At 41.8% G+C, this 26,846-nt stretch overlaps 1 protein-coding gene across 11 annotated transcripts in view, besides 2 other annotated features; it reads right to left on the reverse strand.

The window, feature by feature from the left end:
• Positions 1-26,846, reverse strand: part of FMN1 (formin 1) — a 429,171-nt gene that overhangs the window by 371,777 nt on the left and 30,548 nt on the right. For 7 of the 11 annotated variants that reach the window (NM_001277313.2, XM_011521504.4, XM_047432436.1 and 4 more), the window contains one exon: positions 15,728-17,725. The exons of 1 other annotated variant lie outside the window; for it this stretch is intronic. In NM_001277313.2, the coding sequence (NP_001264242.1) occupies positions 15,728-17,594 (1,867 nt within the window). In that variant the 5' untranslated portion in view covers positions 17,595-17,725. Of the gene's footprint in view, positions 1-12,463; positions 15,468-15,727; positions 17,726-26,846 lie in introns of those variants that run through there. 3 more of the 11 variants (NM_001277314.2, XM_047432440.1, XM_017022134.3) reach the window with 3 other exon arrangements.
• Positions 8,000-9,199: an enhancer, noted in NCBI's record as "MED14-independent group 3 enhancer chr15:33437521-33438720 (GRCh37/hg19 assembly coordinates)". NCBI's record gives its function as "activates an origin of replication core promoter dependent on BRD2, BRD4, P300/CBP and CDK7 cofactors, and independent of MED14, by STARR-seq in HCT116 cells {active_cell/tissue: HCT116}" and the evidence as "EXISTENCE:reporter gene assay evidence [ECO:0000049][PMID:35650434]".
• Positions 25,857-25,906: an enhancer, noted in NCBI's record as "active region_9167". NCBI's record gives its function as "activates an Ori minimal core promoter by ATAC-STARR-seq in GM12878 lymphoblastoid cells {active_cell/tissue: GM12878}" and the evidence as "EXISTENCE:reporter gene assay evidence [ECO:0000049][PMID:35858748]".

A 26,846-nucleotide genomic window follows, 5' to 3' on the forward strand; every position in this document is an offset into this window, starting at 1 on the left:
GTAGCAAAGCACCTCTTCTACATTTGCCTCTTCTACTTAAGAGGCCAGGGTAGGAGTTTTAGAAGCATTCCAGAGTTCCCTCTGCCTACCTTGAATGAGAAGGGTAGCTATATATATTTCTAAGAGGAAAAAGGAAATCTGTATGATTCCAAACTAATCCCAAAGAGTAAGACATGACTGATCAGTAGAGCCCCAGATTAATGAGCTCAGAGGATAATGTTTAATGATATCACCAAAGAAGTGTCCACATTTCTTCCCAGGAGAGGATTCTGATTTTTATTCAGATTCCATACAAGAAATTACTTTTCCTACCACCACCGGACAATGTATTTCCTTTCAACATACTATGTAAAATGCTTGCACATTTCTTTACACTGGGGTATGGCTTCTCTACATGATTACAGACATCAGAGCTAAGAGGGGAGCATCAGGTACTGCGGTTTCTTAAAGAACCCACCACCATACAGCTTGCCCAACAAATTGCCCTTCTGCTGTGTTCCAGGTTTTCAACTCATCCCCTGTTACAAGGCACAGTCATGAAGAGATGAGGGACTGCAGCTGCAGTCGGCCAGACCTGGTGTGACTCTGGGTTCTGCCTCTTATTAGCTGGGTGACATGGGCCACGTACTTCACTTCTCTGACTTTCCATTGCTTCCTCTGTAAGATGGAGATAATAATAACTATTGTGTAGATTATGGTTTGGCTTCAATACAATATTTGTCAACTGTCCAAGTCAGTATCTGGTACACAAGAATAAAGGACTGCTGTTGCTGTTACTGCTATTTGTTAACCAGTATCCATAAGCACAACTGCCTGCTATGACACAGGACAACGAAAGTGATGAAGGCACATGAGCAGATAAAATAAACATTGGAAAAGGCCTCCAGGAAATGCTCTGTCAGCAGGAACACTATCATTGACTGCCTGTACTTGAGGGAATCAGATTTCTATCGAGTAACCTAAAGATGAGTAGGTGAAATGTATCACCGACTCTTGGCTCCTGGGCTCTGCAGCTGTTGCTCCTTATCCTCACTAGCTTCATTCAGTTTCATTTTTCTTCCCTTTTGCTAATGCAATGTGGCCTATGCAGGTGTCCCTATATTCCCATCATCTCCTCCTCTGACATCTCTCCCCAAGGACAGTCTGGCACGTCCCTCAACGTTCCCAGCGAGATACTGCCACCTTCCTCTTGTCTAACCTCTCAATGTGGGCATACAGAGGCTTGAATTATCCTAGCAAACTTTGTATTTTCATGGGTTACTAGATAACCTGACTCCTCCTGGAAGTGAGGATACTATTGCTGTCTTCATTAAACCAGGTACACAGCTTTGAAACAAAGCTCTGATTATTCTAAAACACAGGGTTCTTCTAAGTATGAGAGCTATGATTTAGGGCTCCAATCTGGCTCAGATATCGGTTCACATCATCATGCTATGTCCCTCCCAGCATGAAGAGATGGTGGCCATAGTAGTGGGAGAGGAAAACAAAGGGTTCAGGGCAGAGGCTAGGAGCAGCATCCTTCCAAAGTCTGCTCTGGCCCTTCACTATCTCTGACCTAACCTCAAAATCTCCTTGTATTTCAAGACCCTGGAGAAGTTCTTCATGAAGTAATGATGAGTAGGTTCGTCTAATCTCTTCTGGTGAATGGAGGACTAGGAGAGGATGAGAGGCACACTGGCCATACCAAGCCCACAATTTTCCAGTCTGGGGATATTACTAATGATATTTTAATAATTATGTAAGATTATGACACGTAACAGACTATCATAACTTAATTAATGAAAAAGTAGACGTTTAATGTATTTTCGAGAACTTCACCTCTTAATCCATATTGACTATGAGTCTAATAATTACATTGCACTGAAATGGAGTTGTGTATCCCCTTGAATTCAGGTGCTAATGAAAATCTATTATAAAGTTTATGAAGCCACCAGGCAATTGCTTATTGAGGAAGTTTCAAGGGTTCCAAAATAAATACCTAAATAGCTGTTGTTGGCCGGGCACGGTGGCGCACGCCTGTAATCTCAGCACTTTGGGAGGCCGAGGCGGGCGGATCACAAGGTCAGGAGATCCAGACTATCCAGGCTAACACAGTGAAACCCCGTCTCTACTAAAAATACAAAAAATTAGCCGGTGTAGACACACCTATAATCCCAACTACTCAGGAGGCTGAGGCAGGAGAATCACTTGAATCCGGGAGGTGGAGGTTGCAGTGAGCTGAGATCACGCCACTGCACTCCAGCCAGGGCGACAGAGCGAGACTTCTGTCTCTAAATAAATAAACAAATAAATACCTAAGTAGCTGTTGTTATTGAAACTCAATGTCACTAAAGATCCAAATAAGCTTCGTGTTCCCTTTAAATTGGTAGTAGGAACAGAATGTGGAAGAAAGGAGAGCATCAAAATTCAAGTCAGAAGATCCGGCATATTCCACCAATAGACAGTTACAGTACTTCAGATGGAACCTCATTTTAATCATCTATAACATGAAGACACAGAGCCAAGGGATCCTTTTCATCTTTACTATTTAATTATCATTTTAAGAGGCGACAAATACCAACTAAATCATATACTCCTATGTGGAGTGTGTAGAACTGCCACTGACTTTTTTAAAAAAGATATGAAAAATTTCAAATGTCTTTAGGGTGTATGTTTCCAAAAATTTAAATTTCCTGAGGGAGAGATATTTTATTTTTTAAAATATATTAACATATTTTCTCTCTCTAGGCAAAGTATATTTATTTCACTTTTTTAGGATTAAAAATAAATCCTGATGATGCCACTAAGCAGCAATATCCCTGAAAGAAAAGCAATTAACAACAAAGACAAATAAAATTTATTTTGTCCCTATGCAACTTTCCACCTATGGTTAAACACACACACACACACACACACACACACACACACACACACACAGCTTATCCGTTTATCCCCTTTAATTAAATTGAGAGCGGGAAACACATTCAACCATATGCTGCACTGCAGGTGATGAACAATTAAGAACTCTTCAAAAATAAAGTTACCCTTGAACTAATTTTAGTGGTACATCAAAAAAGAAAACAAAGCAACCATTACAGAGCATCTGAAGTTCAGATCCTGTTTTGAAGGGGTCTGCTCTAATGGAAGAGCCACTGGGGCAAGGAACGACAGATTCCCCCATCCGATGTTGATTCACGACTCAGGTATCAGACACTACGATCAAGGCCACGTGCACACAGAGAAACATATGATTCCTGCCACCCAGGAGCTGGTGATCTAGTGTCAGACTCACATGTAAACAAATAATTACAACAATGTAAAGTGCTTTAAGATGGAAGAAGCACAAAGCAATATCTGGAATATAAAAAACGAAATGCTTAACTCTAACCAGAGAAGTTGGAGAGCTTTATGGAAAAAATGACATGTGTGCTAGGTCTTGACAGATGAGAAGTTTATCGTGGAAACAGCATGTGCAAAGGCACAGAAGTAAAGGAAGGAAGCAAAAGGAAGGGGAAGAAAAGAAAGGTAGAATATAAATTTGAAAAAATATTTTCCAATCTAATATGTATAAACTAGGATCTTATTTTAATTGTCATATTCCTAATTACTTGTGAGGCTAAGTATATTCTTATATACTGAATTCATCATTCAAACTTTCTTATAAGTGAATTGACTATCTCCTTTGCTCATTTTTTTCCTCCTGGGTAGTTTGCCTTTCTTTTATTAATTGATATGATTTCTTTACAAATGTTGGATGCTAATTATCAGTCATAATAGCTACAAATATCTCCTCCCAGCTTTTCTTCTTACTTTGTTAAATGATATCATCTGTCATAGTCAAATGCTTTTCCTTTAATTTTAATTTTATATTATTTAAATATAGACAAATTCACCAGTAATCTTCATTATGTTTTGTGCCTTTAAGAAACCCTTTCCTAATCCTTCCATATTTTCTTCTAAAAGCTGTTAAGTTTTCCTTTTCACATTTCAGTTCAAAATCCACCTGAAATAGATTTTTGTGCATGGCATAAGGTACATCCAACTGTTTTTTTTCCCCATAGGGATAACTAATTGTCCTAGCATCATTCATCAAATAATTTATCCTCTCCCATTACAAATAATGGGAGCTGTTATGGGTAACATAACGTCACCCATCACGGGTAGGATCCCCTGGAAAATAGACCCTGAAAAGAGATTCCATGCAGAAGGTTTAGTGGAGAGTGCTCTTTGGAGCAATACCTATGGGAAAGTGAGGGAAGCAGGATTGGAGAAGATGCAATTTTGACAGAGGCCTCAGGTGATAATGTAGGGAGCATGGAGACTGGGATGGCCCTTCAGAACTGCCCTACAAAAGGCAATGGTGCTGAGCTTCCGTACTCTCACACACAGATAAGTCATTGGTCAGGCCTGCGCTTGAGAAGAAGGTGTAATCTTGGGAGTACCTCCCCCCTTGCAGCTGAGTACCTCCCCAGGAACTGCCCTCTGCAAATGACACTTCAGATGGAACCTCAAAATGGCAGAGGTAGCTCCCATTTGGAGAGGGCAGTTCCTGGGGAGGCACTCAGCTGTAAGCCTTTGGCTGGCAATGCTCCCAGCAGCGGAGAGAACAGGGTGTTAGTCTTGCAAGGGGGATCTGGGTGGCGCACACAGCATACACTATACCAACTTGCTCATGTATCACTTTGACATTGTGATACATGGGCTACGCTGTTTAGTATAACTCTTTTCCCCATGAAATAATTTTCAGATATGTTTCCATTCTGGTCACCAACACGTAATCTAATCTGTCAATAATGCCCTTCAAATATGTACCTATAACTATACCAACAACTCCAGATTCATCAGACTCTATAAAGTACAGAAGCACATTTTCTCCCTTGATATGAATATCTATTTCTAATGTAGCCTGACTTTTTGTTCTCAACAGCTATACATTACCCAACTGGCTCAAAATCAATATGCTGTCAGCTAAAACAGAAACTGAGGTCCCTGATGTCCTTTACCTGTAAGTGGATAGTTTAATCTCAATGCAGGATTTTTCCATTATCCTCTTGAGTTTAATCTTGTTCCATTTAACTTAGGAAAATTTAACAAGCTGTGATTCTGTCACCTAACACCTCTCGCTGTTTCAATTTTTCTCTAAATTTGATACAGGATGCCAAAAAGCTTTTAAAAAGAAAATCCCATGAGGGCAGAGAGCAGCGATGAGGCTTGTGGCATGCCAATGATACCCTGACTTCTACTTCCACTCTCAGAAACCCATCCCATAACCCATCTGTAAAGATCTTGCTCTGCTAGGTAATATTAATAGCAGGAATTTTTTCAGCATATTAATATAATGACTTACAGTGAGTTTTGTACATAGCTTTTGGAAACCAATCACATGACCTCAACTTACATTTGCATTATACACAAGTTTTCTAGCAACAGTGCTTACACAGAAGGGAAACTTCCATGGTGGGCATTAGGCACCCAGCTGGTGAGCCTTGCAGAACTCCCTGAATCACAGCCTACAAGAGTTACAGGTCCCTGCCTGGCCTTCTAGTTCACCAATGTGTTGGGCTATAAAATGTACCTTGGTTCAGACGTGCTGTCCTTTGATCATGGATAATGCAACATGGTTAATCTGTGACCAGTGAAGTACATGAAACATTAAACCGCCTCTGGTTTCTGTTTCAAGTTTGATCACTTGACTGCCCCTCAGTAACTGGATTTTACAATGAAGTTAAATCTCATTTAAAAATGTAAAGCTGTCTGTTCTGGTAAAGCCAATCATATGTTGTAAAGTTATTCCATTTAAAAGATCAGTTTCTTTGTTCCCCAAAGGTTTGACTTTGAGTACCCAAGTTCCATTTAATTCTACTCACATCTCTGAGTACATTTAGATTCCCAAACCCATGCAGAGATGAATAGTTTCAAGGTTAGTTAAAAATAAAAAAAGCATTTTCTAGCAAAATAGGGTAACAGCATCTAACATTGATAATAATCACATGATATGACATGAAACCAGTTTCATTGTTTAACATAGGAAAAATGTGAAAAATGTGTCCCTGTTACCAGTTTTCAGACTAAGTTATCTCATCATTAATCCATCCATTTATTCATTCATTCAATAGAACACTTACTGAGTATATGTCATTGGTCAGTTTCAGTAACTGACCCAGGTATACAATGATGAATGTGATACCATTGCTATCTTTGAGGAGAGATTTTTTTAAAAACCAAAAATAAAGAGACATCTGTTTCCATTTTGAAGTGTTCTATCACTAGCAGAAACAGGTTCCAAATGAAGATGGGACACCAAGAACAAAGCAAGGCAAACCCATTTTACTCTGCTGGGTGGCATGTCAGCTGCAGGAATTCCCAATCATCCTGTCTGATTACTCCTAAGGACAATTTGTCGCTTGCAGCCACTGCCTTATCACTGTAAGTTGGAAGGTTGTTTTTAATTAAAGTCAACAATCATAATTTTCTTAAAAGAATCAGTACCTATTAATTTACTGTTTATGAAACTGCAAAGCATGCATCCAAAGTAAAAGATAAGGTCCTACATTCAAAAGCTTGATAAGAGCTAAAGATTAAGTTCTTTATCACAGAAGAATCGCTGAGTTAATATTATAAAAATACAGATGAGAGGCAGATAATATGTCTTGAGGTCCAAAACCTATCGCCTTGATAGAAATATGATATGGAAATCAGTAGGGACAAAATTACTATTAGATGCAGAAATTGAGAACACTTTGAAGAGAGAAAATGTGACTTCACGTGATTCAGAAATGATTGGGAGGAAGAAAGGGGACCTTTGTTTTTCTTTTCTTTTGCTCTTTCATCCTTTAAGATTTCACACTGAAATGACATTAGTAGTCAGACATACCATTCCAATTCCTTTCTGACTTGATTTAATTTAGAAAATTTTAAAACCCTGATTTAATTCAAAGGCTACCGAGTGAGCCAGTTTGAAGCTAGACACTGTGGGGAGTACCTCAGAGGTATCCTATACGATCTCTGCCCTCAAGTTTTTTTATTAATGCAAATTAGGTAGAAATCCAATATTAGGCCGGGCATGGTGGCTCACTCCTGTAATCCCAGCACTTTGGGAGGCCGAGGTGGGCGGATCATGAGGTCAGGAGATCAAGACCATCCTGGCTAACACGGTGAAACCCCCATCTCCAGTAAAAATACAAAAAATTAGCCGGGCGTGGTGGCAGGTGCCTGTAGTCCCAGGCTACTCGGGAGGCTGAGGCAGGAGAATGGCATGAACCCGGGAGGCGGAACTTGCAGTGAGCCGAGATTGCGCCACTGCACTCCAGCCTGGGCGACAGAGCTAGACTCCGTCTGAAAAAAAAAAAAAAAAAAAGAGAAATCCAATATTAACCTACACAAAACAATAAAATATCGATAAAGATGCTATATAAGTAAGTGCCTTAAAAAACAAGCAGCAAATGTAGCAGCTTTAATCAAGAACAAATCAGCAAATCCACATCGAATAAACAACTCATTGTGAGCTATTCTTTGTAGCATCATTTCATCATTGGAAAATACCAAAAGGAGTGGGATTTTAAAATCCTTTCTGCCCCTATGAACCAGCAATGATGTGTAATTATAATAAAGCTAATTTTAAAAAGTGCTTTATGAACTATTTTCATTGATATTATTTCATTTGATTCTCAAAAAACCGCTATGAAATTTGACATAATTCCTTCCAGCAACTGCAATCAGGGGAGTAATAACAAGCTAAAAAATCGGTATTTCACTGACTCTACCGATTTTGGTGCTTCCCTCTCCCCCACACCAATTTCCCCTGAATCATTCTAGAAATCATGTGTGCTCGTGGATGTAATCCTTCCTCCTCATCACTGCTTTCATCTCTTGCTTCGGCTGCACAAGGTGCCTCTTGATGCTTCCAAAATGGGCACCAGGGCTGCTGTAGTCAAAGGTGCCAGATGTGTTGCCCAAGGCACAACTGCCTACCTCTCCCGCTTCTCCTTGGGATAAGACAAAATCTCATTCATTCTACCATCAATAAAACCACACTGGATAAAATCTAGTTCATTATGCCCTTTCACACCGTGCTTCCATAGCACCTCCAATAGGGACACTGCTTCCCCAAGTCTGTACATCCTGTTATGCAGAATTTGCTTTCAATGTCCTAAAGAAATTTTAGTAACATTACTCTTTAAATTTTCACACTGCTTTTTTTATGGCAGTCCTCTCTCCCTATCTCCAGGCATGAATCCATGGGGCTGGCGCAACAGAAAATCTGGAGAACATACGTCATGCTATTTTCAGTGTTGTCCCTCCCCGTGGTAGCCGCTACCCTCGGATGTGGCTCAAATTCTTGCTTTCCTTAAGATGAGCTTTGTCCTGTGATGATCATCCCAGCCCTCAAGCAGAAGACTCTGGACGGGCATGACTGTCAAATTATCCAGACATGCCCAGACAAGTCTGAATCCTAGGGAGAACATAGCTGAGGCCCAAGCTGCACACCTTATTTACTCTCCACAATTCCTCTGGGCTCACCTGGAAACCAACAGCTTTACTCAGTCACAGGAGCACTTCTGAGTTCTCCCTCTAAACACAAAACTGAAACTAAAGACTTGAACGTTTTAGAAAAAATACGTGAAATCTGAATGAACTGATTTGTGACTTTATTGTGAATAAAACCGTATTACCATGAATTTTTTTTTTTTTTTTGAAATGGAGTCTCTCTTTGTCACCCAGGCTGGAGTTCAGTGGTGCAATCTCGGCTCACTGTAACATACTTCTCCCGGGATCAAGAGATTCTCGGGCTTCAGCCTCCCGAGTAACTGGGACTATACCATGAATTACTAATACAAAAATCTGAATCTCAGCGTTTGAAGTCCTCACTCACTTGCTTAGCGTGAAACCCAGTCCTCAAGAGAGGAAGTCCCTACCTCTCTTGAACAGCTCTTCAATACTGCAAAACTGTTGGGCTTCTGATGATAAAGTTCTTTCATTTCTTTTTGCCAAAGCTCCTTCTTCCTCAAGTGTAGGGGCCCTCCCAGGAGGATGAGGAAATGTTTGTCCAAGACATTCTGGCCCAGAAGTGTTCTCTCTTGGTACTTTTCCTTCAGTAGTTTGTTGTTCCTCCCTATTATCCAACATCGTTCCAGGACCCCTCAAATCCGTCTGTATCCCATACATCTCTGAATTCCAATTCTGACCTGATTTCAAGTTCTTTCCTATAAGGCTCTGAGCCTTGTTTCAATGTACTGGAACAATCCATGACTGTGAAAAAAAAATTCCTAGAACCTTCTATGAGAGGGAAGAAACTCCAGAACATGCCATGATAGGAGGCTGAGCTGCCGGGGCACACAGAGGAACTCCAAGGGGATGGTATGACCTAATATCACAGCCCAGGGGCCACAAAGATACATTAGATATGGTCTGATTCCAATTTCAAAATTATCTAACAGAAGTCACTATCCCTGTAAGTGATCAGAAAGCAAATACAGTGAGATCGGCACCACAGTCATTTATCTGCTCACAGCTATCAAGAGGAAGGGGGTGGGGCCGCAGTGGTATCTGCTGTTTTCAAAAAGTGCTTTCTCAGGATTCCCTAAGAAATAAAACAAAACAGGCCGTGGCTCACCCCTGTAATCCCAGAACTTTGGAAGGTCGAGGCGGGCAGATCACGAGGTCAGGAGTTCAAGACGAGCCTGGCCAACGTGGTGAAATCCCATCCCTACTAAAAATACAAAAACTAGCCAGATGCACACCTGTAATCCCAGCTAGCTGGGAGGCTGAGGAAGGAGAATTCCTTGAACCTGGGAGGCGGAGGTTGCAGTGAGCCAAGATCACGCCACTGTACTCTAGCCTGGGAAACAAGAGCGAGACTCCGTCTCAAAAAAAAAAAAAAAAAGAAATAAAACAAAACATACGCTTTCAATATTCAGTACTCTGCTTTATCAGTTTGATATAATACTTGTAATCCAATTACAACCCGAAAAGGTTGTCTTTTTCTCATGTCCCAACCAATAATGACATGAGGCAGAGTGTTGAGTTAACAAATATATCCAATGAATTATTCTCTAAAATTTAATATCTATTTATTTTAAAAATAGTTTTCTCTTTTACATTTATCAGTGGCTGTTACTTTTAATCATGGTGTTATTCTGCTATTTCTACACATCTTTGGAATTATTTCGGAAGGCTGTGCATATAGCCAAAGGCCACAGACTGCCACCCTTGCTTTATATCTTGTACTCTGAATCCAAAAATAGAGACAAGTGAAAAGCAATCCAGTGGAAGGTGTTATCCTCAAAGCATAATTCAATCTTAATCTGGGGAAAAATGCACAGGCATAGAGCTGGCTTGAGATTTTAAAACATCAGATTCTGGCCATGGTCCTGGCCTTTAAATCACATTCCCCTTTAAAAAGCAAAACAAATGAGAAAAATACTCATTTATTTTATACAGAAACTGACCTTAAAATACAAATTGTTCATTAGTAGAACATTTATTTCGTATTTCACATGCCAATGAGCTATTCTTATTTGAGATCATTGGAAAAGGCACTCTTTAAAATTCTCTTTATGCTTTACACAAAAAGCAAGCAGGCACAATGGGATCTCAAACACTGTTAAATTTTAAGAGCTTTGTGTGTTGTTTTTTGAAAAAAAAAATATTGTTTCTGAATCCATGGACTAAAAATCATATTACCAGGACTTCTAATTCACTTTCTCTTTGTATGAACTTTTAACAATAAAAAGATGGTCAACCTAATCAAATTTAGAGGAGAAAGGTCACATGAGAAAGAAATAAAACACTGTAATAATCATTTAAGTATTAAGATTACCACTGTTCTATAACAAAACATATACCCATATACCACATAAACACACATTCTTCTTTCCCCTGTTGCTCATTTAAAATTCCATCCCATCTTTCACATCCATTCACTAATAAATCGGAGGGAAAAAACTGTAGCCACTACTTCCACTTCCTTATCACCTACCTTCAGCCTCTTATAATCTACTCATAGACGTCATTCTACCGAAGTAACTCCCTCAAAGAGGGTTAGAAGCAACAGTATTTTCCTGTTCTTTATGGCATAATTCATCCCCCTCATCCAGACTCCCATTGGCTCCTCCAGATCCACTCCCCATTTTTCTCAACCTGCTCTTGGCCCTGGAAGGCTGACCCCGTAGACCACAGCCCCTGGCTTGGCTCCTTTACACTCTGCTTTCTGGTTGGTTCAGTTAGAGGAGGTTTACAGGAAGTGGTCCAGAGGAGGGTGAGGCCAGGATATTTATCCCCACAGCTTCCTCTCCGCTGGGTGTCTCTACCAGAAACCACTGTTCCTGACAGAGGGTCCCCTCCATTAATCTCCCCTGTCTGGGCTCCAGTGACCACGCACGCCTTCCCTTGCGCCTTCAGCCTTGCAGGTATCTGTTTCCTCTCAGGACTGTGAGTAATCCAGGGGCCTCTCTGAATTGCTTTCTTCCGTTGGTTTCTGGATTATGCTCTATCCTCATCCTATCCCTACCTCCTGGACTAGTGCTTTTTGAGCATGGCTTTTACAGGTCTCTAACAACCTACATTTCCCCTTGTAACAATGATATATTCTCAATGCTAAAATTCTTGCCTCAAAGGACATGGGGAAAACATAGAAAAGTGTACTTTAGCTATAATTGTACTCCCCACCCCCGACCCCACACACAAGCACTCTAGGTGGTGAATTTGTTTTTTTCTTAAAAAATAAAAGTAGTTAAATCACTCTTGAAGAATCATAAAAGTAACATATTCACTACAACCAGAGAAACAATATAAAAATATGTAAAGAGAAATAAAATTAATGCCTTTCTCCAATTTTTCCGCATCTTTCTCTTTCACTTCATTCCCCACCTCCACTGCCTTGACCCTCAATAAGGAATGTTAACAGCCTGGCCAGTGTTCTTCCACACTCATCTCCATGATATTCGAACCTGTACCAAACATATATATTTATATATTGGGAGGGGTGATAGTTGTTTTACAAAACCTGAGAGCATTTTATGTATTATTTTATAACTCAAATAGATACAAATCTAGATCAGTACTCTGAACAGCCTCATAATATTACAGAGCATAAATGCACAATCATTTATTTAACCATTTCTCTAATGATGAACATTCAAATTTTTTCTAGCTATTTTTTGCCACTACAGACAATGCTGCAATAAACATCCTTATGCCTAATTTCTTATTGGTACATATATTTATGTAAGCTAAATTCCTAAAAGTGGGATTGCCAGGTCATAGTTACACAGAGTTTTAATTGGGATCCTATTACTTTCTCAAAAGTGCATAGCAACATACTTTATGTCAACTTAATTCCTGTATTTGTTTTATATGGGTAGAATATGGCTGATGCAATTTTTGAGTCCTATTTTCCCTCCATTAATTTTAGATAATTTTCTTTGTACTACATACTTTCTGTAGTAACCTTAAATGGCTGCATATGTCTATTAATGTCGTGACGCTTCTTTACAATTTTATTGGAATTGCATCAAACCTTAATATTAATATGGGAAGAGTTTATATTTACTTCCCATAATGTATATCCACAGAGACAATCAAAGCTTTGACAGTAGTATTAGGGGTTTACACATGTAAATAAAATTTATTTCATGTATGCCTCTTAACTCTTAATAAGTTGACATTAATTACATATTTTCATGGGCACAAGAATTGATCAAGAGATTCTCAGTTCTCAATATCAGGAAGAACTATGCCTGGAGCATATGCTTCCATCACCACATCAGTGACTTCAGTCAAAGGAAAACAACCACAGGATTACTCAAGAGCATACTAAAGATTGGGCATTTCCCAAGTATGGTGAGCCAAGCTCCCTGTGATTCTTCTGGCACTAAAAGGGTTTACTTTGAATCAAAGGTAAATGAAAGCAAGCAAAACAGAAAGGAATCCTAGCACCAAGCTCCAAGGACACTGCTTTGCAGGCTAGCACAACTAGAGTTCCTCAAGGTTTGGGGGAAGACCATACTCCACAAAGGCTTGGGAACATTCCACATCAGTCTCCACCCGCCAAATAAAATACTATAAAACCAATCTCCAGGTTGGTGGTGGGAGGAGGCAGGAGAAGAAAAACCTGACTACCAGTTCTTGTTAGTATATTCTCTATTTTATCACCACTATGTGGTGATAATGGAGATTCCCATGCATCATCCTTGAAATGAGAAGTTAAGAAATTACAAACCCAACAGAAGGTGCATCGCTGGCCTCTGTGACATCCTTATGCTACATCCTGCATGAATGGTAATGTCAGCTTTAACTGCTTAGTCTTGTAACAAGGATAAGCGGGTTTCACTGGTTCCTGGGAATTACTACTTGCCTCTAACATTGAAGAGTCTTCCAACTGGAAACAGATCTGATTACTTTTGCCAGACTTAATCTCTTTCTTAAGCAGTTAATGAGAGCTTTCAATAATCTTAATGACATCACTTCAATAAAAATACCTAGATGTTATTTCCACAGGAAATAAATGTCCACAGACCATAAACTTAATCTGGTTAATAGCTAACCTGGGAGAAAGGTGGGAGTTGGGTTCAGATAAAGGGACACTGTAGTGTGATGGTAAATGAATTATTCACCCCTCTTTCTGGACTGCTGGCAACTCTCTGAGCCCTCTTCTGGGTTTAGGTGGGAAGAGAAATGAAGTGAAAGACAAAGGTAGCTGGAAGCAGGAAACTTCTCCCTGTATGGGCTTCCCAGCTGCAGGGAGTCACTGAAGGGTTCAGAATATAAAGAGGACTCACAGCGACAGGAAAGGGAAAATCAAGAGAGAAAAGGGAACTAGACAGAGGATACAAATCAAAGGTACTATCTGGGGAACTCCCTCCCTCATGCCTTTCAAAGTAGGGCCAATAGGAGGTAATGGCTGGAGGCCCTATAGGAAGTCTCCACAGTAGAGAAGTTACCCATATCAAAAAAAGCTCTTACCCACTTCTACTCTCCTTCCCTTTTCCAGCTTCTTCTTTTATAAGGTTAGAAGCACAGGAGATGCTTACAGTTCTTATGACTGGTTCCTGAAAGTGCTGCTGAAGATCCCAATGGAAGGCTGAGGCCAAAGTAAAGGGAATGTTGAGTGATTGCACGGAGAGGCCAAAGGAACATGTGATCATCCATTCACCTTGTCACTCAGTGGGCTCACGGTCAGTCTCCAACAGAAACTGAATGTGCTCTGTGTGCCTGCCTTGATCCAGATACACTGGAGCTTTTATGATATTTTTCAAATAGAAAAAGGGCAAAATAATAAGATAATCCTACATTGAGGAAAAAGAGGATTTACTAAAGAGCAATGTATTTAATGCACAGTTTCTGCAGTTTTTGGAGTTAAGGCAGCTAAGATATTCTACACTCTTGCCTCCAGAAATCTCTCTCTTAATAATCTCAGAGAGTTTCCTTGTCAAGTGTTTCTAAGTCCTCAGCATCCGACAGGAGAAAGAATTTTCATCACTAGGGTTCTGCAATACATGATATAAAATCTACGATTCTGTGACTTTCCTGGTGAAGCATATTGGTTATGAAAGTAGAAAATCTTATCAAAACAAGATTTATTGCAAAAAACAAGATGAAAAGCATTTACCACATTTTTAAAGCTCTACCCCCTGGATCAATGATCTAGAGAGATTTATAAAATTTCACAAGTTCAAAATGACCAAAAAGCTTTGAAGCTCCTCTTCCCTAGATAGATATTTTTTATCTCAAAAATTGCACTTGATGTTTGCTCTAACCTGTAAGAGACTGTCTATCATATTAGGAGCTATTCCCTAGAAAAAGCATTGCCCACATGCTGTTAGAGGAGCTCTGAAAAAGAACACATAACCTGCACAATGGCATATAAAACCCTGAGATTCTGGCCACAACAGCCTAGAAAATGTAATGAATACCAGAGCAGTGCTTCTTTTACACAGTCTTTTTTGGTCCTATTGAATCCACAAAATTATTTTCATGTAACATTTTAAATCACATTAAGTATGTAAGTCAAATGAGCTCTTTAGCACCTTTTACATAAGAAATGATGCTATACCAGTAACAGTAACAACCCATAAGTAAAAGATACCTACGGAATAAAGTCAATTTGTGCTTATTTGGGAAATTTAAAAACTGTAAAAAAAGAAAACTTTGAACCAAGTTTCTTCAAATTAGACTGAATTCCTTCCTGTTCTGTTAAAACACAAAAGTTTTTGTCATAAAATAATAGCACTTATCGAGATGATTACTAAAAACAAACAAACAAAAACCTCTAACTACAGACATAAGTGAAGACACAGCGTACTTTTGCACTTCTGCTTAGAGAATCCCTAGAATGACTCCAGCAGCATGAATGGCAGAATTTAGGTCAAGAGGCCAATTACCCAGTGTTACCATCAAAGGCAGGGACAAGTTACCACTTCTCTCTGCCTGTTCCTGTTTTCCTTTGAGAGTCACTGTTACGCAACCACAGAAGTAACTTTAGAGGATGCCAAAAAAAAAAAAAAAGAAAGAAATAAAAGACATTCACAAAGTCCTGGAAGCAACTATACCTCTGAACCACTAGGTCAAAACCATCCTAATCATCTCCACACCCCGCTGTTCCACTCCCCGTTTTCTTGCTACAAAGTGAAGTAATAGGCCTAGGAATTTTGGTCCATTGTTAATCAGTCAGTTTCTAAGTAGCACAGGCAGACTGATAGTTCCCCAATCAGCCAAGAATAGATTCAAAGCATCTTAAACAGAGACTAACCTGGAGGTGACTGGTGCTGGGGCTCAGCTGTGGTCTTCCCTGGCCCCAAGCTCTTTTCCAAAGTTTCCCCAGGCACCAACCGAGGTTGGCCTGCTCTGAGGAAGGCCGGGCTGGCTCCTTTGGTCTCCGTGACCTTTGCAGAGGATGGTGGCTCCAAGGTGTCAGCAGAGACGCACCCAGAGAAGACACGGCTCTTTCTACAAGGAGAGTCATTAAGAGCAGCTTCCCTCTCACCAGGCAATGCAGGGAGCCGGAGGATCCTGTGATGCTGCTGAGGGCTGGGGAGCCTTGGAGACAGAGGCGAGGGAACAGGTGACGTCTGTTTGTGTGTGCTGGACTGCGAGGCTGAATTATTAAACACCTTGCCAAGAGCTGCCGGTGCTGGTGGGGATGGCTTCTTCTTATCACCTCTGGGTTGTGAGGAGTCAGGACCTACTTTGTGGGGCAGATCCAGAAACAAGGACTTGTGGCCACCAAGGGGCAACCCGGCTCTCCTCTTGTTTCTCGTTTCTGGGCGAGTGTGAGGGACACTCGTGTGGACAGGGAAGCCCAGTCTTTTCCCCTCAGGGGCTTCATCTAACTTCTCACTCTCTATCACCTTCAGGGGGACCTTGTTCACGGCCCCCTCGGCACTGGCCGACACACTAGAAATGGAGGCTGTTTCCCCGGCTGGCGACTGCGATGACCTATCCCCTTGCCGCTCCTTGCCCTGCCGCCTGGAGCCATGAGCCCCAGCCTCAGCTCCCGGGAGGGTGAGCAAGTCGGCTTTGGGTACAAACTCAGCGTGGGCTGCTGGGCGAATGGCAATCGTCTCCTTACCCTTAGAATGCGTTTTAACTACTCTTTGTACCTGGGAGGACAGGTCCTGAACTTTGGCCACCACTTTGGAGACAGGTTTCTGCTTGCAAGTCCGCTTAGCCGGCTTCTCCATCTCATCCTTTTCTGCCTCTGGATGCTTCTCAGGGTCCTGGTGACTTTCAGACAAACCTGTTTGCTGATGCTCCAGCCCGCTCGGCGGCCTCCGAATGCCATCCCCTCCTGCCTCTGTGGAGCTGCAGTCAGGGGGCAGCACTTCTCTTCCAAGCCCAGTGTCCTTGAAAGCCGTCTCAAAGCTCCCAAAGCCAAGGTCTGTGTCTGGCGTCTTGGGAATATCTGGGGGGCAGCTCTCTCTCCTCTGCAGGGAGCAGGCAAGTGCCCCATTCGGGAGCAGATTTCCTTTCTCCTCTAGTACCCAAAGGTTAGGCCTTGTTCTAGAAAGAGGAAGGGAGTGGCTGGAACAGATCTTGTCCTTGCCCATCAGAGGAGCTGATTCTCGGCCTCCACGCCCTTTTCTTTTGGTCCTCTTCTGTGGAAGGGCCCCAAAGCTCTCTCTCCTTCCACTAGACCTCCGAGGCTTTTTGTTCCCGTGGGTGCTCCTCTTATTGAGAGGGCCCACGGGGAGCTCTCCCTGCCAGTCACCAGCACTCTGGAAACAGTCATCCTCGGGGGCCAGGCTCACGGACAGCTCTTGCAGCTTCCCCTCCTGGTTCCCCATCGTGATCCCCAGGATGTGGTCTGAGCTCAGGAGATTGGTTAGCAGTCTCTCCCTCTCTGTTGTGAGTTTGTACAGCTCAGTTAGAATGTCTTTCGTGGGAGTCTGCTTGAAAAATATGTCGCCTGGATGTTCGTCCGGCTCCTGGCTGAGGCTGATGATGTCTGACTCCTCCCTGACTTGGTAGCAGTTATGAAAACCTTTATTGGATCTGTCTAGAGTTACAGTGCCCTTGTATGAAAATCCTCTGACTTCCCCCTTTGGAAGACAGAAGCTGATGTAGCAGAGTTCCGTAATGGGCTTATGCAATTGGAGGGTACAATGAGTGCCTTCCATTATGCCTACCTAATTATTCATGCCTTGGAGATGCCGGTTTGTGGTCAGGCTTCCCAGGCTCCAGTGGTGAGGCATGTGATGGTGGCTATGCAGAGAAAGCAGCTGACAGTCATCTCCAGCAATGAGACTGCCTGTTAGAGGAACAGGGGAAGAAAGCAGCTTGTCTAACAGAGTGCATAAATCACACACCAACATAAAATCAAAGCATAACCATGACTTATCCTTCCTCTGTGGCTGACCTCAACAACTCAAGGAATCAGACAACAGCCAGATTTCAATCTCTTCCTCACTCCCACCCTACTCCTGATCAGTAGAACTTTTGTATAACTGAGAGATGGGAAAGTCCTCTCATTTCACCCCCAGGACAAAAGTTCCCTTTCCCTACATGGGGACTCACTGTGCAGCCTGGATCAGGTCTCTCAACTTCTCTAGACCTTGGTTTATGTTCTTCTGTAAAATAGAGCTATCATAACTCCCAGAAGTCCTTATCTAGGGGGCTTTGAGATCCTTAGAAAACACAGCCATTTTCATAACTCATATTTGGAATATTACTTTGCAAAGGTAGATCGATCAAGCCTTTTTACCCTCTAAAAACCACCTTCAAGATCTGAGCTCAAATTATCGATTCAACTTAAAACACAATGTGAGGAAAGATCTTAGGCCCCAAATTTGGTGTCAACAGTAAAAATTTCAATGTAAAAGTTTAAAATTTAAATAACTCAAGTCTTAATCAAGTTTTGCTGTTTTCTTTTTTATTTATTTTTTGTTGTTGTATTGCCTTCTTTTTTCCTTCCTGTTGTCTATTCGAAGCCAAATGGAATGACAGAGGAACAGCAAAAAATCTATAAGGAACGGCTGGCCCTGTACAGATTTTTCAATGATGTCACCACAGAAACGGCTGAAATGTCACATAATTAGTGAAGGTGGCTGCTTCCTTGTGTGATATGAGGGACCTCAGAAATGTCTCTGTGGCTACCATCCCCACACACAAACTCTATATTTCTAGTTTCTTAAGCTATTGCCCAGTCTTCAAGCCTTCCTTGCTTAAAACAAGCACCGCCCACACCCTGGGAATGATAACACAATAACTATTCATTAGCCCTTGATATCTTTAGTGAATTATTTTCCTCAGGTTTTTTCTAACTGCTTCTAAATAGCAAAAAAGCTACATAAAAGTATATTTTGAGTGAAGGAAGAGAGAAAGGAGGAAGAGTCTGGTAAAAGTAACTCCTTGAGGAAGAGAGTGATAAAATGACAGTTATGAAAATTGCAGATATCTGGTCAAACCAGAATGCCAGGAGACCAGGAGAGGCCTTGCCTCTTTCACAATTGTATATGGGGCTGTTCTCACTCAAGTAGTTTTTTTTTTTTTTTTTTTTTTTTTTAGATGGGTTCTTGCTCTGTCGCTTAGGCTGGAGTACAGTGGTGCAAACATGGCTCACTGCCGTCTCAACATCCTAGGCTCAAGTGATCCTCCTGCCTCAGCCTCCCGAATAGGTGGGACTACAGGCACGTGCCACCACCACCCAGCTAGTTTTTTTGTATTTTTTTTTTTTGTAGAAACAGCCTTTTGCCATGTTTCCCAGGGTGGTCTGGAAATCTTGGACTCAAGCGATCCTCCCACTTCAGCTTCTCAGAGTGCTGGGATTATAGGTGTGAGCCACTGCTCCCGGCCGTATTTTTAAAACTTTTCTAAAATGCTTATTGCTAGCATTTTCTAAAGATGCACATGTGTAGGGATACTTAATAATTATTGGTAAAAACTCGCTGCATGTGTCCAAGAACTCACTTAGGAGGTAGTCTCTTATTGTGTAATTTATAATAATCAGTAATAAAAGCAATTGCAAAGCTGTCAATATCCGCTGAGCACTAAGCATTAGGAGTTCAATTAATGAATTCTCAGACAAACTGAAGGGAAGCAGCAGATGAGCTATGCTGAGTTTTGGAAAAATAGAATGCTCTCCTCTCTCTTCAAGCATCATTTTCCTCTAGCTGTTCTCATCTCCTCAATTCCCATGGATTAGGAGTAGTGTGTGATGTTGGGGGAGGAGTGTTAAAAATTTTCAGAATTGGCTGGGTATGGTGGCTCACGCCTGTAATCCCAGCACTTTGGGAGGCCGAGGTGGGCAGATCACCAGGTCAGGAGATCGACACCAGCCTGGCCAACATGGTAAACCCCGTCTCTACTAAAAATACAAAAATTAGCTGTGTGTGGTGGTGCATGCCTATAATCCTAGCTACTCAGGAGGCCGAGGCACGAGAATCCCTTGAACCCAGGAGGCCAAGGTTGCAGTGAGCTGACATCGCGCCACTGCACTCCAGCCTGGTGACAGAGTGAGACTCCATCTCAAAAAAAAAAAAAAAAAATTCAGAATCTGTTCAAAGTCACAGTTTATGCTGTAATTTCAAATAGGAATATGACTGCGTATTCTATTCCCTAAGAGAGGGAATTTGTATATACTGAGCACATATACACTTATATTTTCATTTTGTTATCTCATGGAATCAGTACATCTCCATTTTACAGATGAGGAAACTGAAATTCAGAGATAAAGGAATTTGTCTAAGGGAATATGGCTCAGAATATGCAAGTTTCAAACCCAGATCTCTCTCACTACATTGCTTCATAGGTCATGTTGCTCTTCACCTACTGCCTTCTACTAACAAACTGGTTTTCCATCTAATTTGAATAGAGGAGTTTTTTTTGTTGTTTTCTGTTTTTTGTTTTTTTGTTAACTTGGTGTTACATAATTTCTTAACAATGTCTCACATCTTGCTATTTTAACGCTCACGGAGGCCAGGCGCAGCAGCTCACCCCTGTAATCCCAGCACGTTGGGAGGCCAAGGCGGGAGGTTGCTTGAGCTCAGGAATTTGAGACCAGTCTGGGGAACATAGTGAAAGCTTGTTTCCACAAAAAAAGAGAAAATTAGCTGGGAATGTGGTGCAAGCCTGTACTCCCAGCTGCTAGTGAGGCTGAGGCAAGGGGATTGCCTGGGAGGTTGAAGCTGCAGTGGACTGAGATTGCGCCACTGCACCACTGTACTCCAGCCTAAGTGACAGAGCAAGACCCTGTCTTTCAAAAAAAAAAAAAAAAAGAAAAAGAAAGAAACAAAAACCACACTCATTGGAGAGCTTCAACATGTCTGATCAGGTAAAGTGCTGCTCCCTAAGGTCATCCCTTAAACAATAAAATCTAGAAAAAGGGCACCAGGAGTTCACTACAGCTGGTATAGGCAGTAAAAACTCAATGAAGATTCTAATTTAGAAATAAAAGAAGAGAAGGACTGACATAAAGGCTATATCCTTTATGAGAATTACAGACATGTAGTGCCTGTTTACAGGATTAAGTACTTTTTTCCCCTGGTCTTTATAAGTCTTGGTTATGTAAATGGAGAAAATGTCATGGTTAGAACTCTATATGTTAGTCACAGTTGGGAAACTCAAGTCAAGGTTTAGAAAATTATAACATTGGATTTTATAGCAATAAAGCCACAATGCAAGGCATAAAGCTACTATTATAAAAAAAAAGAAAAAAAAAAAGAACTTTACACTATTGCCTCATCCACCCAGAAACTTCCATACAGAATGCTCTTACCACACTTGTGGTGCACATGTCCGGAACCAAAGAGGAGCAGAACAGAGGAAGAAAAAAGAAATGGGAGTTTGTCTCATGATCTTGGGACTACAGTTCCTTTGTTCTGGGCCCTGGGAAGCAGTATGTTGTAAGAAACTTTGTACTGAACTAGACTAAGGAGTTTCACTATCCCAGGATCCATAGGAGCCAATGAAGAATCCTAAGCTACTTACTTATACTTGTTATAAAAAGATTACTTCAGAAGTAAAGTAGAGAGTAGACAAGTAGGGGGTAAGACTAGTGGTATAAATCACTTAGAAAGGTCTTTCAGTATTCCAGAAAGAAGCGATAGCCAAAACCAAAGCAGTAGCAATGTGATGGAGAAGAGATGGTCAATTTTAAAAGATAGATTTCAGGCCAGGCATGGTGCCTCATGACTATAATCCCAGCACTTTGGGAGCCTGAGGTGGGTGGATCACTTGAGTTCAAGACCAGCCTGACCAACATGGTAAAACCCCATCTCTACTAAAAATACAGAAAAAATTAGACAGGCATGGTGGCACATGCCCGTAATCCCAGTTATTTGGGTGGCTAAGGCATAAGAATTGCTTCAACCCAGGAGATCTAGGCTGCAGTGAGCCGAGATTGTGCCACTGCACTCCAGCGTGGGTGAAAGAGTGAGACTCTGTCTCTAAATAAATAAGTAAAAATTAAATAAAAAGATAGAATTGAAAGGGTCTGGTGGTTAATTGGATATGCGTGACAGGAAAGAATTTGGTTTCATGATTTCAGATGTAGGTGACTGGGTAGATTGTGGTGCCATTCACAAAGATAAATGCACGAAGAGGAATAGGCTTCAGGGGAAGAAGATGAATTCAGTTGTGGAAATATTGAATTTGATGTATCGGGGAATAATCAAACAAATATGTCCACAACACTGCTAGATGCAAAGGGATAGAGAATGAGATTTAGGCTAAAGTTAACACATTTAGAAGGAATCATACAGTATATAAGGTGTTTCAATTCCATGTAAGATAAAGTAAGTGCACTCTATCCTAGCTCTCCCACTGAATGTAACAGAAAAAAAACACCAATATAAAATGCATGGAGCAGCTATTTGAACACTCTAAAAGTAAATGGTAACAAGCAGGTTGATGAGGAAGACCAGGCTTTGAAGTATCAACCAACTGTAAAGCAGCTAACTTTCTCAACTTTGTCCTTCAGTAGCCCCTAAGCCTGGACTCAAATGTGCCTGAAACATGGCAGTGAATATCAGCACAAACAGAGGAAGATATAGGAGGAGTCCTGTAATTCAGAATCAAGAATAGAAAGAAGTTTTCTTGTTGGCACCTAAAACTCTGAGGGAGGAGAACATTTCTCTATGATTAGAGGAACTGTAGTCCCAAGATGTATGGGGGAAAACCCTATTTCTTTTTCTCTCACTCTGTTCTGCCTCTCGTTGATTTCGGGTGTGGGCAGAGTTGCAGGAAGTTTGCAGCCAAAGAGTTGGAGGGTTAGTAGTCCTAGATTTCTAGTTAGAGGACTGAAATCAGAGCCTCAGAGAGCCCAGAAGTATGGGAAAGATTATGGAGAAGGATCTTAGAAAGTGACCCATAAAGTTGTTCATGGATACCTGAATTAACCCCAGCCTGTGGATTGTGGATCTGAACTTAAACACCATACGAAGGGCTTTGAAAAAAAATGAAGAGATAAGACAACTTCCCAGGGCCTAGGCTGGCCACTGGGTGGCACATACATGGGATGGAACACTGCAAAAGCTTTGAAAATGGAACTGACATGAAAACCACAACCCACAGGAGGCTCATTGGAACTGGAGGACTGAGCCAAACCAGGTTGACTAGCTGGTTGTTTCAACAAAAAAGGATCTTCCCTGAGCAAATGAACTTCAACCTCAACCCTCTAGAGTGTTCCATGTCAGAAGAAGGCTTTAGACCAGGGCAAACTCTTCTCTGTGACAACCCATTAGAAAGTCAGAATGCAGTATGGAATCATCACACATATTTTTCATCCAAGAAACCAGAGGAAAAAGAGCAGTAAGTCCTAAGAGAAAAAAAGCAAAAGGACAGGAAATCACTGTGCATTGGGGTTAAATACACTGGCATTGCAATTCCATGCTGAGTTCACAGGACTATTTCAAACAGCATTGCCTCATTCTACTTGGACTCAAATGCAGCGGCTCTGCAGAGGCACACACTAAATTATACATCTTAATTTGGCCTGTGAAGTGACCTGCTCTGGTTATGTTCAAGGTAAAAGCACTTTGCTTCCCAGGGAGTCTTCGTGTCTTCTATTTCCTCTGACAGGCTCCAGGCTGGCATTCTGTCTATGACAACATTGCAGCAGTGATTTCTCCCTTGATTCTTTTTCCAATAAACAAGTAGATTACCTCACTCTACCCCAAATGGAAATATCTGTTCTGCCTCATCCTAATGAGAAATGATTGCCTTTTAGTAGATGCTATCTATTGTTCATAGCATATTTCACCAATGCTAAAAATAAGATTCAAGAATTAGTTGTCGTCATTCTGTCTGCTGACGGCAGACATCCTAATTGATTTTGGCCTTAAAAGGCCAATGCAAAGCTTTCTTTGCCTAGTCATTGGCACAGTCTTTCCCTGTGACTCCATCTGAGCCCAACACGGCTAAGACAGATTACCTGTATTCCATTTCTAAACTGGAAAATTTTTATTAGTTCAGTCAAATTCACACTCTACCTTTCACACCCTCCTAAGACCAAGAGACTGACTTTTATGAACTCAATCAACAAGTTTCCTTGCCCTGTGGCTTCTACTAGATTTAGCCATTGGGAAACAGTAACAGATTGGAGGGCAGATGGAAGAGGGCTCGGGACCTTTATCCCCTGACTCCCTATCTCCTGGGCTATAGTTTGGTAGTAGGCGTGCCCTCTAATGAAGACCACGCTCCTCTGGGGTAGTTCTCCTCCAGCTGCAGCTGCTTTCTCTGAGTACCATTACTGCCCCCTCCCCTTGCTCATTTAGTCCTAGATGGCTTTGAATTCTGCCTCTCCTGTGTGATTTTGGACAAGTTATTGCCTGCCTTTCTCCTTTCCATCCACCCTGGGATGGAGTGCAGCTTTTTCAAAGAGTAGATTAAAAAAACAAAGGAAGGCTGGGCGCAGTGGCTCACGCCTGTAATCCCAGCACTTTGGGAGGCTGAGGCGGGCGGATCACAAGGTCAGGAGATCGAGACCACCCTGGCCAACACGGTGAAACCCCGTCTCCACTAAAAATACAAAATATTAGCCAGGTGTGGTGGCGAGCACCTGTAGTCCCAGCTACTCAGGAGGCTGAGGCAGGAGAATGGCGTGAACCCGGGAGGTGGAGCTTGCAATGAGACGAGATCGTGCCACTGCACTCCAGCCTGGGTGACAGAGCAAGACTCCGTCTCAAAAAACAAAAAAGAAAAAAAAAAAAAGGAAGTTCTGCAATAGGTTAATGGCTCTTCTTCTTTCCATGGAGTTTTTCTTCTCTTTGCTTTCCTTTTTGTTTTTCTTCTTTCTGAGATAGGGTCTCGCTCTGTCACCCACGCTGCAGTGCAGTGGCGTGATCTCAGCTCACTGCAACCTCCAGCTTCTGGGCCCAGGCAATTCTCCTACCTCAGCTCCTCCAAGTAGCTGGGAAAACAGGTACATGCCATCATGCCCAGATAATTTTTGTATATTTTGTAGAGACAGGGTTTTGCCATGTTGTGCAGCCTGGTCTCAAACTCCCGAGCTCAAGTGATCTGCCCACCTTAGCCTCCCAAAGTGCTGGGATTACAGGGGTGAGCCACTGAGGGGTTTTTCTTTAAACAACCTCCACACTGTAGGAGTAAGAACGTAGGAATAATAACAAAATTACTACAATACACAGCAGAAAGAGACCTATAAGGTATCAAAGAACAAATCAGAGGAGTTAAAAAAAAAAAGGAGAGTCAACATCATGTTTGTAGAATCAGAATAACACTTCAGGCAGAAGAAAGCATTTTAAAATAGCCCCTCATTAAAATATGGGCCTTGGACAGGTAGAGATTAAGAAAATGAACTTCCAAGAGGAAGAAACGTAATACAGGACTGAGAAAACAAGGATTTTAATCAGGTTGGTAGGATATTAACGCTATCTTCATAGACAAATGACTCATGAAGCCATGGATGATTTTTGACCAGGGAAGCAGTATGTTCAGCACTACTCTTAAAGATTAAGTCAAAAGTAATGTCAGAACAGATTGGAGTAGAAAGAGAACAGACAGGGAGTCAAGAATGAGGAGCTGGGGACAACATCAAATTCTGCAAAGAGGTCAAGAAAGAAACAAATTAAAGTGTTACAGGCCGGGCGTGGTGGCTCACGCCTGTAATCCCAGCACTTTGGGAGGCCAAGGCAGGCAGATCACCTGAGGTCAGGAGATTGAGACCAGCCTGGTCAACATAGTGAAACCCCATCCCTACTAAAAATACAAAAACTAGCTTGGTGTGGCTAATTAGCTGGCACCTGTAGTACCAGCTACCTAGGAAACTAAGGTGGGAGAATCGCTTGAACCCGGGAGGTGGAGGTTGCAGTGAGCCGAGATCACGCCACTGTACTCCACTCCAGCCTGGGTGACAGAGTGAGACACTGCTTCAAAAAAAAGATATGTTACAGACAGTTTTAGGTAGCAACTTTAGTAGAGTGAGAGAACACCAAACTAATTATATTACAAAGAGTAAGTGAGAATGCTAGTGGTTAAGACAAGAAAAATATGAGTAATAACCTGTACCGGTATTTGCTATTTTGGTTTCTTGTCTTGTCTTTTCTTTTTTTTTTTTTGAGACTGAGTTTCGCTCTCGTTGCCCAGGCTGGAGCGCAATGGCACAATCTCGGCTCACCGCAACCTCTGCCTTCTGGATTCAAGCGATTCTCCTGCCTCAGCCTCCCGAGTAGCTGGGATTACAGGCACGCACCACCATGCCCGGCTAATTTTGTATTTTTAGTAGAGAGGGGGTTTCTCCATGTTGGTCAGGCTAGTCTTGAACTCCTGACCTCAGGTGATCTGCTCATCTCGGCCTCCCAAAGTGCTGGGATTACAGGCGTGAGCTACCATGCCTGGCTGTTTTGTTTTGTTTTGTTTTGTTTTGTTTTGTTTTGTTTTTGAGACGGAGTTTCACTCTTGTTGCCGAGGCTGGAGTACAGTGGTGAGATCTTGGCTCACTGCAACCTCCACCTCCTGGGTTCAAGTGATTCTCCTGCCTCAGCCTCCCAAGTAGCTGGGATTACAGGCAGCCGCCATCATGCTCAACAAATTTTTGTATTTTTGGTAGAGATGGGGTTTCCTCATGTTGTCCAGGCTGGTCTCGAACTCCTGACCTCAGGTGATCCTCCCACCTCAGCCTCCCAAATTGCTGGGATTACAGGCGTAAGCCACTGCGCCTGGCCTGTTTTTGTTTTTTTTGAGACATGGAAAACAGAAGTATGTTTTCAGTTTGAAAAGAAGGAAGTAGCAAGGAAGGAGATATTGATGATACAGTGAAAAATGGTATGAAACATGGGAAAAAAGGCACCAGAGGAAGAAGACATGGGCTCAAGGACACATGGGGAGGAATCAGCCTTGACAAGAAGGAGGATGGTTTCCTACTCAAAGACTAAGGAAAAAAGATTATTATGAGATAGCACTGAAATTGAGAG

Source organism: Homo sapiens, chromosome 15 (genome assembly GCF_000001405.40).
Source record: "Homo sapiens chromosome 15, GRCh38.p14 Primary Assembly".
In the NCBI taxonomy this organism is placed as follows: Eukaryota; Metazoa; Chordata; class Mammalia; order Primates; family Hominidae; genus Homo; species Homo sapiens.